The sequence below is a fragment of the Homo sapiens genome, chromosome 5, assembly GCF_000001405.40.
Source record: "Homo sapiens chromosome 5, GRCh38.p14 Primary Assembly".
Classification (NCBI taxonomy): domain Eukaryota; kingdom Metazoa; phylum Chordata; class Mammalia; order Primates; family Hominidae; genus Homo; species Homo sapiens.
Genome location: NC_000005.10, coordinates 84993504 through 85012637, shown reverse-complemented (window position 1 = coordinate 85012637; position 19134 = coordinate 84993504). Strand labels below are relative to the sequence as shown.

At 33.5% G+C, this 19134-nt stretch overlaps 1 pseudogene; it reads left to right on the top strand.

Moving 5' to 3' along the window:
• PPIAP79 (peptidylprolyl isomerase A pseudogene 79) lies at nucleotides 12326–13020 on the top strand (annotated as a pseudogene).
• The last annotated feature ends 6114 nt before the right edge of the window (nucleotides 13021–19134 follow it).

Genomic DNA, 19134 nt, shown 5'->3' with positions numbered 1-19134 from the left:
ATTTATTAAAGTTTTTCTCTAAGATTCAAGCTCTTTCCCATGATTGCCCACATCAGGGTTCTGCCTAACCCTCAAACTATTTCACTTTTTTGTTGTCATTGATGTTATTGTTGTTATAATAGTATTGCTCTTTGTTATTCGGCCACTGTACTGGTTTAAAAATTCTTTTTCACTTTGGCTTTATAGTTCATAGTTGGGTAATTTTTTTTTTTTTTTTGTAAATTTTGGTATTCTTATTATCCTGTGTAAACTTATATGATACTATCTTTAGACATTATCTACATGATATTTGTATTTTCCAAAGACATTAACTACTCTAGTTATTCTCCTGAATGTGTGAAATCTGATAAATTACTGTATAACTGTTGTGACATAAGATAGAGCAAGACAATTTCACTTTCAGTAGTGTTCTGGTAAGCAGACTCTCCAAAGAGGGTCATTGGGTGAGTGAGCAGCAGCTCTGATTGGTAATATTTTCCATTTTCCATTATGTGAATACTCCCACTCCGGCAATTTAAAGCTTCCAAAGTGAAGTCACAAAATGAGTAGTTGGGATAGAATGTGGATAACAGCTTCTCCCAAGCCAGTTCTAGCTGACTTCAGCAAACCACCATTTTCTTCCCATCCACTTACATCCTTTGCATGCTGCCTGAGATTTCCATTGTTGGAATCAACAATGGAAAGTAATGCTTTCGTATTTTGGTATGAAGTAATGCTTTCTGAAATTTCTAATTAAATCAAATTATTATTTCGATAAAGGTGCATCATCTGTCTACTATGTTAGCTGTTAATATAATATTCCTGTCCCTAAAGTCCTCTGTCCCTAAAAAATACAAATAAATAGATTTTTATTTCTTTCTTACGGAAAAAGAAGAAAGAAAGCATGTACTCACAAAATATACTAGGAGGATAGCTAAATCTTCCCATAAGAAGTTTTATATAATTTACAAAGATTAAAAATGCACAGATATGTGTACAGTTTGAAATGTTTTGACAAATAAATATATGTGTACACGGATGTTATCTACAACCTTATGAAGAGATAGAAAATTTTTATCTTTCCAGAAAGTTCTTCCGGCTCCTTCCCAGTCAAACCTGGTCACCCTCAAGTAGAGGCCACTAACACAGGTGACTAGTTTTCATGTTATTCGAGAAATTCATTCACATAAATGTATTCATAGAATCATAAATACATGCACTTGAATCTGGTTTCTTGTAAAATATTTTTTTGAAGTTTAAACATGTTTTTGGGTACATTTGTTGTTTATTCCTTTTTACTGACATTGCATAATACTTATTTTTCTAAATTTCTTTCTTTTCAAAAGATAATTGATATGTTTCAAGCTTTGCCTATTATGAATATTAAGCTTCATATGAACATCCACATAATCTATTTGTTGATGTATGTTGTATTATCCTGAGTTAATTGAAATGGAATTCCTGGGTCATAGGGTAGGTTTATGTATAACTTTATTAAAAAATTCAAAGCCAGTTATCAAAGATTTTATACTATTTTACACTCCCATTGGTTGTACCGTATAGATGCTAACATCTGGTGATGTTAGTCTTTTTAGAACTATCCATTCTGGCAAGCCTGTAATATTTCATTGTAGTTTTAATTGGCATGACCCCGATGACTATTGACATGGATCATTTTTCAGATGCTTATTTAACATTTGTTCATTTCTATATCATATTTTGTAAAGTACTTCTTAAACTTTTTTAAGTATTTTTGTTGTTTTTATTTGTCTTATTAAGTTGTAGGGGTTCTACATATATTATGTAGATAGGTTTTTCATTACATAAATATATTATATTATTTCTATAATTTACCTATTCACTTCTAAACTGTACTTTTGATGAGATAAATTTTTACTATTTTTGTTGAAATACAATTTAGAATTTTTTTTAAGTTTGCCTTCTGTGGTCTTTTTAAGAAATATTCACAACTATGTTATGAAGATACAGTCATAATGTTGTATTCTATAAACTTTATAACTTTAGTTTAATATTTAGGTATATGATTCATCTCAAATTAATTTTTACAGTATATTTCAAGGTAGCAACAAATTTACTTTTTCCACATGGATATGAAGCTGTTCTACCAGTGTTTACTGAAAAAATGTTCTTGAACCGTTAAATTTCTTCCATGTATCTGTTAAAAATTGAATGACAGTATGAGTCTATTTCTTATATCTTTCAGGGAACCATTTATCTGTGCTTATGCTATTACAAGACTGTCTTGATTCCCATAGCTTTAGAGTAAGTCCCGAAATCAGATAGCATAATTTTCCCAATATCATTCTTTCTCAAGATTGTTTTATAAGGTAAAGACTTCACCTGATCTATTTCTTGTGTCAATCTGGTAATAATGTCTTTCAAGGAAATTTTCCATTTTATCCAAGATGTCAAATCTTTGACATAAATCTCTGATATAATCCTTTGTTAAGCTTGTAACAATCTGAAGTGACGTCCTTTTCTGAAGTGACGTCCTTTTCTCTTTCATTGCCTGTACTGGTAATTTTTCCCTCTTTTTGTCTAATTCATATTAATGGCTTATAAAATTGCTTACATCTTTTTAAATAACATTTTTTCTTTTATATCTTCTATTTGTTCATTTGCTATTTTCTTGATGGCCACACTTACTATTTTATTATTTATATCCTCTAAGTACTTTGTTTTAGCTGTGTGCTAAAACACAGTAATTTTTTTGCTGTTTTGCATTAAAGATTTTGCCAAATTTTATTGGCTTTTTAGGGTGGAACATGCATGATTGATTTCAAACCATTCTTATAATCTAATACAAAAATTTTCTCCAGCCACTACTTTTGTGTAACTTACAAAGTTTGACATGTTGTGTTTAAACTTCATTCAATTCAAAATTTTGTACTTTCCTTTTTAGTTTCTTAACACATGAGTTCTTTAGTGGCAGGTTACTTAAAGTTCAAATATTTGGGGAATGTAAAGATGAATTTTTGCTATTGACATCAAACAATATAATTAGAATTAAAATACATATGTTTGAAAATCAGAATATATTGCAATATATGGAAACTTCTTAAATGGCTCAACAAATGATCTGCCAGTGGATTTTCTATATGTAGTTATAAAGAATAACTATTCTGTTGTTTTATGATGTTTTGATCTATGTCAGTAAGGTTAGGTAGGTTTATTTTGTTCAATGTTTTTAAACTGCAGTGATTTTTCATCTATTTCTTTTAGAAATCACTGGAAGAGTGTTATTGAAATCTCCAAATTAATTTCTGTCTGCTTACTTCTGTATTTTGAATACCTGTCTTTACTTTCATATACATTTAAGATTATTATATCTTTCTGATAAAAAGTGCTTTTATCCTTATGGAATGTATGTTTTTATCTCTGGTAATATTATTTTTCTTAAAGTGTATTTTGTCTAGTATTAGTAAAGGCAAATAAGCTTTTTTTATATTTAGTGTTTACAGGTTGTATCACTTACTTGTTTTTTAATTTTACCAATTACATATTTATGCATTTGTATTTTCTAAATCTCTATCCTGTCTGATTTTAATATAGTCAAATCTTCATACGTGCTTTAACTTATATTTATTTTTTTAACATTTATGCATATTTAAAATATGAAATAGATATTTATACATTAAAATACAAAATAAATTGCATAAATTCGATTTTGTCAAATTTTATGTATATTTCTTCAAACATTTTTTCCTATACAATTTTTCTCTTGTAAGTCTGAGTTTTAAATACACATGTTAGACTACTTAATATTGTCCCACTGGTCATTGACAATCTATTCTCTTTTTTCATCCTTCTTCACAGTGCATAATTTTAATTGCTCTATTTTCAAGTTCACTGATTTTTTATTCTGTGGTATCAAATTTGTTGTTTATCTTATCTAGTGAAATTTTATATATTTTATTTTTTAGTTCTAGAATTTTTATTTGGTTCCTTAAAGTTTCTATTATTTTCCTGAAAATGCCCTTTTATTCAATCATTTTGTGGGTCTTTTTTGTTGAAATTTTTGGTGTTTTTATGAAGGCTGTGGAAAATTCCTTGAATGCTAATTGCACCATCCAATCTATCTCTTTGTCTCATCCTATTGACAAGTTTTTGTCTCACTATGTGTCTCAATTTTCTCATTCTTACATGTCTAGTGATTTATAATTGAAATATTCAATATTTCAAATGCTACTTTGTTTAGAGTCTAGCTTGTAGAATTTTAAAGATGCTAGAATTTTCTTATTGTGGGCAGTAAAATTACAGTTCAATCAGATTGCTCAGTCTAGGTTTATTTGAGGCCTGGTTGGGGCAGGTCCAGAGTAGCCCTTTCCCTAGGGTTAGAGTACTCACATTTCTAAGACACAGCCTAGAATATTTTCTTCCAGGTTTTCCAGAGTCTCATCCTGCACATAGATAGCTTATAATTTGGCTAGGGACACAAGGGGACCACATGCAATTTTTTTTCCATAAGTTATGGGGTTACAGGTGGAATCTGGTTAATTAGTAAGTCCTTTAGCGCTGTTTTGTGAGATTTTGGTGTACCTATCACCAGAGCCCTATATACTGTACCATATTTGTAGTCTTTTATCCCTCGTCCCACTTCTACTTTGCCCCCCAAATGTCCAAAGTCCATTGCATCATTCTTATGCCTTTGTGTCCTCATAGCTTAGCTCTCACATATCAGTAAGAATATACTATGTTTGGTTTTCCATTCCTGAGTTACTTCACTACAGGTCACTACAAATGCTGTTAATTCATTCCTTTTTATGGCTGCATAGTATTCCATTATATATATACACACATATATATATATCACATTATATCTATCATATATATTACATTATATATATCATATATTCCATTATATATATCACATTATATATATTCCATTATATATCACATTATATATATATTCCATTTTGTATCTATGTCTATCTAGATAGATATCTATGTCTAGATAGATAGATAGATAGATAGACAGATAGATATCACAGTTTGTTTATCCACTCATTGATTGATGAGCAATTTGGGTTGGTTCCACAATTTTGCAGTTATGAATTGTGCTGCTATAAACATGTGCATGCAAGTATCTTTTTTAAATAATGACTTATTTTCATCTGGGTAGATACCCAGTAGTGGGATTGCTGATCAAATGGTAGTTCTACTTTTAATTCTTTAAGGAACCTCCACACTGTTTTCCAGAGTGGCTGTACTAGTTTACATTCCCACCAGCGTGTAGAAGTGTTCCCTCTTCAATGCAACCACGCCAATATCTACTGTCTTTTGATTTTTTTATTATGGGCATTCTTCCAGGAGTAAGGTAGTATTGCACTGTGGTTTTGATTTGCATTTTCCTGATCATTAGAGATGTCGAGCATTTCTTCATGTTTGTTGGCCATTTGTGTATCTTCTTTTGAGAATTGTCTATTCATGTCCTTAGCCCAATTTTTGATGGAATTGTTTGTTTGCTTTTTTCTTACTGATTTGTTTAAGTTGTAGATTCTGCATATTCATCCTTTGTCAGATGTATAGATTGTGAAGATTTTCTCCCACTCTGTGGGTTGTGTGTTTACTCTGCCGACTGTTCCTTTTGCCATTCAAAAGCATAGTACTGGAAGTTCTAGCCAGAGCAATCAGACAAGAGAAAGAAACAAAGGGCATCCAAATTGGTAAAAAGGAAGTCAAACTGTCACTGTTTGCTGACGATATGATCATATACCTTGGAAACCCTAAGGACTCCTCCAGAAAGCTCCTAGAACTGATCAAATTTCCAGATGCAAGGTTAATGTACACAAATCAGTAGGTCTTACATACACCAACAGCGACCAAGCAGAGAATCACATCAAGAACTCAACCCCTTTTACAATAGCTGCAAAAAATTAAAATATTTAGGAATATACCTAACCAAGGATTGGAAAGTCCTCTACAAGAAAAACTACAAAACACTGTTGAAAGAAATCACAGACAACACAAACCAATGGAAACACATTCCATGCTCATGGATGGGTAGACTCAAAATTGTGAAAATGACCATACTGCCAAAAGCAATCTACAAATTCAAAGCAATCCCCATCAAAATACCACCATCACTCTTCACAGAATTAAAAAAAAAAATTCTAAAATCTATATGGAACCAAAAAAGAGCCAGCATAGCCAAAGCAAGACTAAGCAAAAAGCACATGCAAATTTTTTGAGATTCTTCTGTACATAGTGATCTGCTCTCTGGTATTCTAACCCTCAAATTTGTCTCATCAGTCCTGAACTGTGATCTGTGATCTCCGTGTTTTTTTTTTTTTTTTTCCCAGTGAGACTTTTTTTTAATGGAACACATATGTCAGTTTCTTTAAGAAATATTTCTCCAACAGTTACCTGTGGAATCCTTGGGTTACTGAAAAGATTCTTGTTAGTTTGAAATTTTTTCTTAGCATTCGAACTTTACATAAGTTTGAAAATCACTTCAATAAACTGTAATATAAATTGAATAAAACTTAAAATATGTTGAGGTATTGTCAATGGGTAGGTTCCAGTTCTTAATTTTGCCGCACAAAAGAGTTTGAGAGCAAGCTCAAAGTAAAAGTAGGTAAAGAAGTTTATTGCAAAGTGACAGTAAATTCTGAGAGGCAGAGTGGATTGTTCAAAGCTAGAGGCAGCCGCTAGTGCACTAAGGGAATTCCCTTTATGGGAGCTATATACACATATTCATAAAATACTGGTGAGGTAAAGTATGCAAAGGGGACCCGTAGTTGGCACTCATGCTCAGTATCTACATGCTCTAGCATGCATCACATGTATCATTAGCATATAAAATTTCTACCTAGTGTTGCTTTTTTTTTACTACTAAGATGAGGAAAAGGTCACTATAAGCTAAACCTTGAGCCTGGCTGCACACGGAGGACCCTGGAGAAGTCCTTAGTTTCACCCAGCATCCCAGGCCCCCACCAAGGCAGGCATTTGTAGCTAATAGCTTCTTGGGCTTTTGGTGCTGATTGGCTGGAGATTGGGGAAGATACATCATGAGTAAGGGGTTTTTGTTCTCTTTCCTGGGCCTTATTATGTAACAGGAACTTGGAACCATCTGGCAGTCTGTTGGTATTCTGCAGGACAGCTCATCTTGCAAAAGAATCAGTGCTAACAGGAGAGTGCAAATAAAGGGACACTGTGGCAAAAGGAGTCCATGGTGCTTAACACAAGGGGACAAGTCACTATGGCCTTCTACCCTTATTTATCCTGCCTCAGGATGTACACCTGAAGTTCCATGGCTATGAAATAGATCTACAATTTAAGAATTGTTTATTTTTTTCACATCATGTCTTATCAGCACAGGGAAAAGAAGAAAAAAATGTGATTTTCTAAATTTTTATGTTAAGAAGTCAAAGTTTTCAAAATATCAAGGAAATGGGAGAATATAAAATGTTTACAAAATAGCTGGCACTTCCCCAGAGCTTCATAAAACTTAATATGTTCACGGGTCATTTTTCTTTTACAGAAAGGTAATAGGCAGTTCCCAAGAACTTCAACAAAGATTATGTCTATCCCAAAATTTGATCAAAAGATTTAGCTCATACCCTTCATTTTGAAAATGTATTAAATATCTATTTGAAAATGTATTAAAATTGTAACACTTGAGATGCTTCATTTGAATGTATTCATAGATCTCAATCATATACAGAGATAACTCCTGCCTAACTGCCTCCAAACCCATATCAACCATACATTTACTCTCTAAACTGGCAAATTTTAGAGAGGGAAAGTGTAAACTAGGAATGTCACAGATAAACAAGGAGGTATGTTCACCCCAACCACAGTCTTAAATAGCACCATTATCTACTTAATTATTTATGCCAGAAACTATAAAGTCATGTTATTTCTATTTTTCCCTATCCTCAAATCCAACCTATCAAAAATTATTTTTGTCATATGTAGAAAACATATCTAATGTCTTTTAATATATTTGAATTTCTGCTACTACCATCTTAGCAGAGAATATGAAAATTTATTATGTTGACTGTTCTAACAGGTCATTGCACATACTCCTTGGTCCCTCAAATACATACTCCACAGAACAACAACAGTGTCATTAAAATGTACATTAGATTATGTTAATATCTCTATTAAAATCCCTTAATGTTTTTCCATTAAAATTTTTAAGAAGTCAGTTCTTATCATGGCTCACCAAACTATGCCATAAGTTAGCCCTAATCTAATTTTCACCTTAATTTATTATGATTGTCCTTCTCAAGTATTGTGAGTTAGGCCCATAATCATTATATTATTTAGCCACATCAAATCCTTTCCAGACACAGGTTCAATGTGCATGTTTTATCTTCTGCCTGGAATGTTCTGCTTCTACTCTAATGGACTACTCATTCATTAGGTGTCAGCTTAAATGTTACCTCTTCCGAGAGATTTACATATTAATTACAAATTATTTATATGATTCTATAATTTTTCTACCTCTGTCGCTTATTTTTATTTCTTTATCCTAAGTATCATAATTGCAAATATTATTTTTACTTTTTAACTTTTCTCCCTGACTAGAATACAGAGTCAATGACAATAGCATGCCATTCTATTTTGTTTACATGTTATTCTGATATCACTCAAATTCAAGTAAATAGTGAGACCTTGTATCTTTGTTGACAGCTGAGCAAAATAAGATGTTATAAAAACCATTGACTTATTTGCATTCACCTCTCAAGAAATAAATGAAACAGTTTGGGAATGTGTAGCCAATGCAGAACCTGGCACCCTAATATGCACCTAGAAATGAATATACCTAGGCTTTATTTTATTAATTGTGTCCGAACTAGATGTTAATCTTCTTAGGCTCTGAAAGTCTTTTTCTTGAGTTAATAATGACTCTAGATATTTATATCTCTAAGTATTTGTAAATGATGAATTAAGATTTTTTTAAAAAAGAACCCATTCTCTAATATTAAAAAAACTCTAAAATGTTTCTTCTATATGATTAGAAATTATTGAAATAGAAAACTGCCTCTTGAATATAAATTTAAGAAGTTACCCTTTAATTTTCATAAAATTTGGTAATTATTAGACATTTGGATCAGAGACTAATAATGCAAATGCTGATGGTACTGGCATGAAACCAAACACATAGACTAATGACACAGAAGAGAGAGCCCAGAAATAAATCCTCATATTTTTAAACAATTGATTTTTGACAAAGATGGTGCCAAGAATGCACAATGGGGAAATAATAGTCTCTTCAACACATGGGTGTCAGAAAAACTGTTTATCCACATGCAGAATAATGAATTTGGACCCTCATTTCATGTCATATACAAAAATCAACTCAATATGGATTTAGTTTTTGAATGTAAGACCAAAAACTAAAACTGCTTTGAGAAAATATAGGAAAAATGTTCCAACACATTGTTCTAAACAATAGTTTTTTGGATTATGACCCTCAAAAACACAAGTTGCAAAAATAAAGATAGTCAAATAGGATTACTCTGAACTAAAAATCTGCATACAAAGGAAAAACAGTCAATAAAATCGAAAGACAACTTACAGAATGGGAGAAAACAATTGCAAAACCGCCCTCTGACAAGAGGTTAATATCAAAAACTTCTGAGGAACTCAAACAACTCAATTGTAAGAAAACATAGCTTGATTGAAAAAAATTGGCAAAAAACTTGATTAGAAATTTTTCAAAAGAAGACATACACATGGCCAATAAGCATATGGAAAAAAAGTTGAATATCACTAGGCATCAGGAAAACATTTAAAACCATTATGAGATGTTATCTCACACTGATCATAATGGTTATTATCAAAAAAATAAAAAGTATTGGTGAGAATGTGGAGAAAAAGGACCGCTTGTTCACTGTTGGTAATGTTAATTACTTTAAGCATTGTGAAAAACAGTATGGAATTCCTCAAAAATTTAGAAATAGAACTACAATATGATCCAGCAATCTCACTAAGGGTTATATATCCAAAGAAAATGAAATGAGTATGCCAAAGGAACACCTGCACTACAGTTTTCATTGCTGTATTATTCACAATAGCCAAGAGATAGAATCAAACTAGGGTTCATCAATGGATCAATGGATAAAATGTGGTATTTATACACAGTGGAATATTGAGCAATCAAAAAATGAAATCCTAACATCTGCATAAGCATGGATGAATCAAAAGGTCATTATGTTAAGTGAAGTGGGCCAGGAAAAAAGGGCAAATATAGGATGTTCTCACTCATATATGGGAGCTTAAATAAAATAAATTCATGGAGATAGACTGTAGAATGAAGGTTATTAGAGGCTGAGAACTATAGTGGATGGAGGAGGATAAAAAGGGGTTGGATGGCCGAGTGCGGTGGCTCAACCCTGTAATACCAGCACTTTGGGAGGCCGAGGCGAGTGAATCACCTAAGGTCAGGAGGTGGAGATCAGCCTGGCCAACATGGTGAAACCGCATCTCTACTAAAAATACAAAAAAATTAGCTGGGTGTGGTGGCGTGCACCTGTAACCGCAGCTACTCGAGAGGCTGAGGCAGAAGAATCGCTTGCACCTGGGAGGAGGAGGTTGCAGTGAGCTGAGATCCTGCCACTGCACTCCAGCCTGGGTGACAGAAGGAGACTCTGTCTCAAAAAAAAAAAAAAAAAAAAAAGAAGGCTTGGGTTGGCTAATGAGTAGCCAGAAATAGTATCGTCTTATCAGTTTAAATGCATCCGGGTTAAATATTTTACAAGATGGTTGTTTTTAGAAATATTTATAGCATAAATGTGTTTAATTGTAAAATGCTGTATTCTGGCTTTTAAGGTAATTGTGAGAGTGATTTTACATAAACCCTATTTAAAATTCAAATGTTTAAAATAAAAATGTGTCTATAAATGCAAAGCTTATGGCAACTGAAGGCTATATATAAAGAAATTTTGTTAAAGATAAAATCTATTTTTGTCAAGCAACATAGACGAATTTCTGGTTCATTTATATCAATTTTGAAATGCATTTTGTGGGAGGTCTTATTCTAAGTGTATTGTCAATCAAATAAGCATGTCAATATTGATAACTCAGTTTCCTATTTCACTTAATTGGTGATGAACTATAGTTATACTAAAAAGTTCAAATGAAATAATTCATCATGCAATTTATTATAAGAACATAGAAAATTTCTGTGGCCAATTTTCCTGAATGTTTTTTTTTAAATTAAGTAATAAAATACCTGGAAGTCAAAATATTTCTGACAGCAAGGACTGCCTTTATGTTTTAATAAGTGTTATTCCTTTAGAGGTGGAAAGTTTGCTTAAGTATTCAGGAGTGAATACAATTTACCTTGTTGCCCTCCTTGAGATAAACTAGACAATTTTATTAATTTTGAAATGGCTCAGGCCTATTTTTGTTTGTTTGTTTGTGTTAAGAAGCAGGATCTTGCCCTGTCGCCCAGGCTGGAGTGTAGTGACACAATCATAGCTTGCTGCAACCTCGAACTCCTGGGCTCAAGTAATCCTCCTGCCTTGCCCTCCCAAAGAGCTGAGATGATAGGCATAAGTCAGCACACCCAGCCTATCATTGTTTCATTGGCTTTGTTTATTACCAAATCACAAACAAAAACTGAAAGAAGGATAGAATGAAAGAAAAATTTGTATAAATGCTTATTTTATTATTCATTCATATATTTTTTTCAAATTGCAAGTTAAGAAAGAAAGAGCTCTTTCATGGACATTGGGCAGGCTTTCTTCCCAAGGCTCTAGTTCTAGAGTTTTCTCATGCCTTTCATCTAAGTGGTTGAGCATGACAGCTAAATTATGAGTCACTATTGTCAGAGACAGCTTCCCATTTACAGAAAGGCAAAATTCCTGCTGAAAGGATGAACTTTGGCATACAGAAATCTACCCATTTCAGTTTTCTGAGATCCAGTACATCTGATTCATCCTAGTGTCTTTAGGCTTGTTGTGAAAACACAAAACATTCAATAGCAGATGGCTTAACATTATAAAAAATGCTCATTGGAGTTTTTAATAGAAAGGGTAAACACTAGAAATATAATTTTTAAAATTAGATGCATGCTTTTCACCCCATTGATTAGTGTCTATGAGTTAAAAGCTTGCAAATGAGAAAAAAATCTTCTCTGGTAGAAAGGGAGATTACACTTTTCATGTCTGTCTGAATACCTAAAAAGTTATTTTGGGTTTTATGTGAATGAGTCTGAGATACAAAAACAACGTAGGTTTAGAACTTGTAGTATGGAGTACCTGGAAGGAAGACAATCAAACATGTTTATTAATAGCAAGCATTAGATTCCCAGTTAGGTAGGGGTATTACACTTACAGGGATTTTTAAAAAAGTGTTTCTGCAAAGCACAGTCAACCCTACCATGTTCTTCAACATCGCCGTAGACGGCGAGAACTTGGGCCGTGTCTCCGTCAAGCTATTTGCAGATTTGCAGACAAGTTTCCAAAGACAACAGAAAACTTTGGTGCTCTGAGCACTGGAGAGAAAGAATTTGGTTCTAAGGGTTCCTTCTTTCACAGAATTATTCCAGGGTTTATGTATCAGAGTGGTGACTTCACACGCCATAAAGGCACTGGTGGCAAGTCCATCTACCAGGAGAAATTTGATGACGAGAACTTCATCCTAAAGCATACAGGTCCTGGCATCTTGTCCATGGCAAATGCTGGACCTGGCACAAACGTTTCCCAGTTTTTCATCTGCACTGCCAAGACTGAGTGGTTGGATGGCAAGCATTTGGTCTTTGGCAAGGAGAAAGAAGGCATGAATATTGTGAAGGCCATAGGCTATGGAACACTTCAGGAATGGCAAGACTAGAAAGATCACCATTGTTGACTGTGGAAAACTCTAGTAAGTTTGACTTGTGTTTTATCTTAACCACCAGACCATTCCTTCTGTAGCTCAGGAGAGCACCCCTCCACCCCATTTGCTCGCAGTATCTTAGAATCTTTGTGCTCTCGCTGCAGTTCCCTTTGGACTTCATGTTTTCTTTGTTCCCTTCCATGCCTAGCTGGATTGCAGAGTTTATGATTATGAAATTAAAACTAAATAACAAAAAAGAATTTCTGGTAGTTGTTGGTGAAGTGATTTGGAAACACTACTCCAAGAGAAGAATTGGTAATTCTATAAAAATTACAAGTTTTTAAAATATGTACTTGATGAAACTAAAACACTAACAAGATAACAAATAAATTTGTAGCCAGTTTTTAGAAGAGGACAATCCAGAAAATTGGCCTAAATATTGGGTTTGATTTTCCCTAGGGTTATCTGATTCAAATAAAAATCTTAGATATTCAGACTGTATAAAAATTAGTACACAGATAGTTTGAAACTAGAAGGAATATAACCACCAAAAAACTGATGTAGCTATAATACTATCAGACAAAATATACTCTAAGGCAAGAAACTTTATTAGAGATGAAGAGGGACATTTAATATTGATAAGCAGGTGAAAGCATCAGGAATATAGGCTACCTATGAATACAGCCAATAACATCTTCATAACACAGAATGCAAAAATTCAAAATGAGCAAAGAAGACATAGTGACATCATAATGACACTGGCAAACTATAACATACCACTATCAGCTGTTAGGGAAAAAAACAGGAAAGATAATGAAGATAAGAACAAAGTTGGCCGGGCGCGGTGGCTCACGCCTGTAATCCCAGCACTTTGGGAGGCCGAGGCGGGTGGATCATGAGGTCAGGAGATCGAGACCATCCTGGCTAACAAGGTGAAACCCCGTCTCTACTAAAAATACAAAAAATTAGCCGGGTGCGGTGGCGGGCGCCTGTAGTCCCAGCTACTCGGGAGGCTGAGGCAGGAGAATGGCGTGAACCCGGGAAGCAGAGCTTGCAGTGAGCCGAGATTGCGCCACTGCAGTCCGCAGTCCGGCCTGGGCGACAGAGCGAGACTCCGTCTCAAAAAAAAAAAAAAAAAAGAACAAAGTTGACTAATCAGTATCTACAGAATATTTACCCCCAAAATTAAAAGAATTCACATTTCTTTCAAATATATTTGGAATATTTATAAAAATAAAATAAAGGAATTACAAGCTGGACAATAAAGCTTCAGAAGTACTTAATTTTTTTCTTCATCACAGCATAGTTTTGATACTGTTATTTAACCCTAAAAAGGAAAATAAGTAGAAAATTCAAATAAATGTAATTAAACTATATAAGATTAATAATGATCAAAATAAATTTTAAAGAGTGTGAACTGTGATAATGAGGTATGACATACAAAATGTATAGGACTAAACTCAATCAATGGTTAGAATAAACGTATACTCTTAAAACACATTTATTAGAAAAGAAAAGTCTTAAAACAAGTCAACTAAACTTTCATTTCAAGAATCCAATAAAGTAACAACAAGTCGACATCAAAGAAAGTAGAAATAAACAAATAATATAGACCGAAAATTAACGAATATAGCAAAAACATTAAAAAGACAAAATCAATAAAAACAAGTTAGTTTTTGAAAAGGCTAATAGAACTAATAAACTTTTACTAGAAATTATGAATAAAAAATACATAAATAACAACTTATCAATATCAGAAATGAAAAAGAGGACACTTGCACCATTCCCTCAGATATCAAAAGGAGTAAAAGAGGATACAAATTATTCCTAAATATTAAAATATGTATTAAATGGACATTATTTTCAAAAATACAACTTCCCAAATACTAACAAAATATATGAATCATCCAATATTTATCCTAAAAATTATACCTTTGGTTTAAAACTTTCCGACAAAGAAACCCCAAGCTCATATGGCTTCACTGGTGAATTTTTCCAACTAGCTAAGAAAGAAAAAAACATGAATATTGCATGAATAGTTCCAGGAATAGAAAAGAGAGAAAACTTTCTAGCTTTTTTTTTTTTTTTTTTTTTTTTTTGAGACAGAGTCTCGCTCTGTCACCCAGGCTGCAGTGCAGTGGCGCGATCTCGGCTCACTGCAAGCTCCGCCTCCTGGGTTGATGGCATTCTCCTGCCTCAGCCTCCCTAGTAGCTGGGACTACAGGCACCTGCCACCACGCCTGGCTAATTTTTTATTTTTTAATTTTTAGTAGAGACGGGTTTTCACCGTGTTAGCCAGGATGGTCTCCATCTCCTGACCTGGTGATCCGCCCGCCTCGGCCTCCCAAAGTGCTGGGATTACAGGCGTGAGCCACGGTGCCCGGCCTCTAGCTTTTTTCACAAATCCAGCATAACCTCAATTTCAATATCTGAAAAGCACAGTCTAAGAATGAAATATCTCAGCAAGCAGTTTCCGTAACTATTAAGGTAGATGTTATAATCTATTGTGTTGACTATTCTCAGTATTCATGCTCTTGTGGAGTCCCATTTTCTTGAATCCGACCTGGACCTAGGTAATAATTTTGGCAATAAAGTGCAGTGAAAATGATGCAGTGCTTGTCCTAATACAGTGCGTTAAGCTTAAAAAGGGTCTGGCCACTCCTGCTTTTGCACTATTGGGAGCTTTGGGCAACATGTTAGAAGTTCATTCATCATTCCGGAGAGACCACATAAAGAAACTACAATTACATGAAGATAACAGACATGCTGCCCCATTCTTCCAGCTAAGTCTTGCTCCAACCAAACCATTAGAGGTAGCTACATGAGGCAAAAACACTAGCAGAAAATCTGCCTAGATAGTCCAGTCCAGACTGCAGAACCAAGAGAATATAAAATGATTGTTCTTATAAAACTCTTGAGCTTTGCAGTGACTTGTCATGCAACAATGGGTAAGTAAAACAATAGGATATATTACATCTGAACATCTTTATTCTTAAATAAACACCAAAATTGTATATAGAAGTCACTAACAGTCATGTGCTGGAATGTTTCTAGCACTATTATTTATATCAGACAAAAACTAGAAAATACCCAAATATCCATCACCAATAAGAGAGATAGTACATTTTGGTATATTTGGAACACTATACCACAATGCAAACAGCTACATCCAACTACTTGTGTGAATTTCACAATTATAGTGCTCTGCAATTAAAACTAAACACCAAAGATTACCACATTATTCCATATGTGTATAGTAAATATACAGACAAATCCAAACTACACTATTAGAAAAAGTCAGAATAGTGGTGAGGTGATCCTAGAAAGAGAGTATAATGAAGGGAAGGGAACAAGGAAGTCAGTCCTGAGTGCTGGGACTATATTTGGTTGCATTCTTGCTCTGGGTGCTGATAAGGACTGTGATGTATTTGAAAACATTTATTAAGCTGTACATTTATGTACACTTTACTTCAATACAAAGTTGAAAAACATATGAGATGTAAAGTCAAAAGAATAGTCAAGGAAAAGAAACAATGTGAAAAAATAAACTATTTAATAGTAAGCCTTATAGAATTATAATAATAAAGTGTGGTATTAGTGAAATAATAAACAAATAAGGAAACAGAAAAGATTCAATAAATAGATACACATTCACGTGGACGTTTGATTGTGACTAAAATCACATTATATTGCTGTGGGACAAAGTATGTTTTCAATAAATGAAGCTGTTTCGATTGGCTATCCTTTTGAAAAATAGTAACTGCATATCACAATAAAAATGAACAAATATAACTCTGATCTATTGCATAAATGGCTACGTTAAATATAATATTAAAAGTAAGATGACACAAAAATTAGAAGGCATATAAGATTAAACTTATTTAAAGATCAAAACCAGACATGAAGTTGTGTTAGAGGTCAAAGCATTGGTTTCCCACTGGAGAGAGTGGTAGGTATAATAGAATGCAAAAAAGGTGCTTCTAAAGAATTGTGGATATTCAAAACATATGTTTGATCTGTGCCAATCTAGTGAGCTAAATCAATATTTAGTGTCTAGCTAGCTAGGTAGTTAGCTATCCATCTATCAATCATACATGTGTATGGGGAGTTTATGCGTATTTATTACTTCATTCAGAAAGTTTAAAAATCTAGGTTACAATCAAGGTTATATACTCCACTGCCAAATTAGCTTTTTGTCAGAATATGATTTAATAAGATGATATGAAGCAAGTAAGTCCCTCTAGACACAATTAAAACAACTTCTATTCACAATAACTAAGAGAGAAATTTAACCTATGCCTTTGCTAAGCAAAACAATTTTTAAAGGAATTACCTTTATTTTAAATAAATGAACTAGTTTTAAGAGCAGAAAAAAGAAAGACATGCAAAAAATTTAAATGCTATGGCACTTATATGGCAGCTTTCATGCATTGTGTATTAAAAAAACTTCCTATGACAAATGTAATAACTATGGTCCTTATCATTATATATCCCAGGCAGAGAATTACAATTTTCTTTGTAAAAATCTCCTTAAAAACACTGCATTGAGAATTCCATGATCATTGTTGTTTCTCTGTTACAGCATAATGGTCATGCATTCATCACAGATAGGTCTATGATGCTTTGGAATAAATAAAACTGCAAGCACTTAGACATTAGGGAAATAAGATTATAAAACAATTAAAATGAATCAAACAGGTGCCACATCTGAATAAAAGGTGTATGGAGACTTCTACAGCAAGTCCATAGTGTCAATGGCATTTAAAATGTTGAATCAGAATCAGCCTACGTGTAAGCCCCATTCTGACTAATAGGTCCCATCCAAAAGCTGTGTTAACCAGAGTCCACATGAAATCAAGCAGAGCACTGACACCATTATATGGAATTTTAATGGAGTGCTTTAGTGATTGTGAAGGTTCCACTTGGTTAATGCAGCTGAGATATGAAAAATTGAATAGAAAAAGATAGAGATTGAAATATAATCCTAATGATGATTTGCTTTTGAACTAGTAATCTGAAAGTACTGATCCAATTTTCACAGTACTTCCCCACCAGAAACTGCTGTTTTTAATTTATTTTTTAATATACATATATATTCTTAATTTTCTGAAATTAGTGTTTCTTCCCCACTGGTATATTTATGTCCCTGGTATCTACAGTGAATATATCACTGTATAGAAAAGTATCATGTTAATCAAACAAATAATTCTGGATAATTAAGAAGTAGGTAGTCCATGGAGTAGGTAAACATATTGTGCCATATTCCTCCTCATCATTGAGATACTGTATTATATACTGATTAATAATCAGAGAGAATATTGTCCTTTCAGATTCTACTTTCCACAAAGTGAACAAATGAATGCAAGGAAAAGGAATTAGTATGGGATCACTATTTATTAGAGAAATGTAAATGAAAACCACAATGAGATACCACCTCACATCAGTCAGAATGGCAATTATTAAAAAGTTAAAAACAACATATACTGGCAAGGTTGTGGAAAAAAGGGACCGCTTATACACTGCCGCTTGGAATGTAAATTTCCATTGTGGAAAGCAGTTTGGCAGTTTCTCAAATAACTTAAATTACCATTCGACCCAGAAATCTCATTACTGGGTGTCTACCCAAAGGAATGTAAATTGTTCCACCAAAAAACACATGCATGCCTAAATTCATGGCAGCACTATTCACAACAGCAAAGATATGGAGTCAACCTAAATTCCCATGAATGTTTGACTGGAGAAAGAAAATGTGGTATATATACACCATGACATATTATGCAGCCATAAAAAAATGAGATCATGTCTTTGCAGCAACATAAATGGAACTGGAGACGGTTATCCTAAGTGAATTAACGCAGGAACAGAAAACCAAATACTGCATGTTCTCTCTTATAAGTGGGCACTAAACATTGAGGACACATGGACACAAAGATGGGAACAAACATCAGGCCTATTTGGGGGTGGAGGCTGGGAGGAGGATGAGGGTCAAAAAACTACCTGTAAGGTCCTATGCTTATTACCTGGCTTATAAAATAAACTGTACACCAAACCCCCATGACACAATGTACCTGTAAAACAAACCTGCACATGTAACCCTGAATCTAAAATAAATGTTTTAAAAAAGGATTAGAAAGAACCACAATCCACCCCTGTGTTCTGTGTGGTTTACATGTTCTCTCTGTCTCTCTCTCCCTCTCCCCACCTCCTAAACTAAAGCAACCATTTGGCTTTATTATACACCTTCAGACAAATGTATATTAAAAACACATATCTGTGGCATTATAAACACTGGCTTATAATTTTATTTTCTTTCATTACTAAAACTTTCCTGAAGAAAATATTCATAAAGTGAACAAAAAC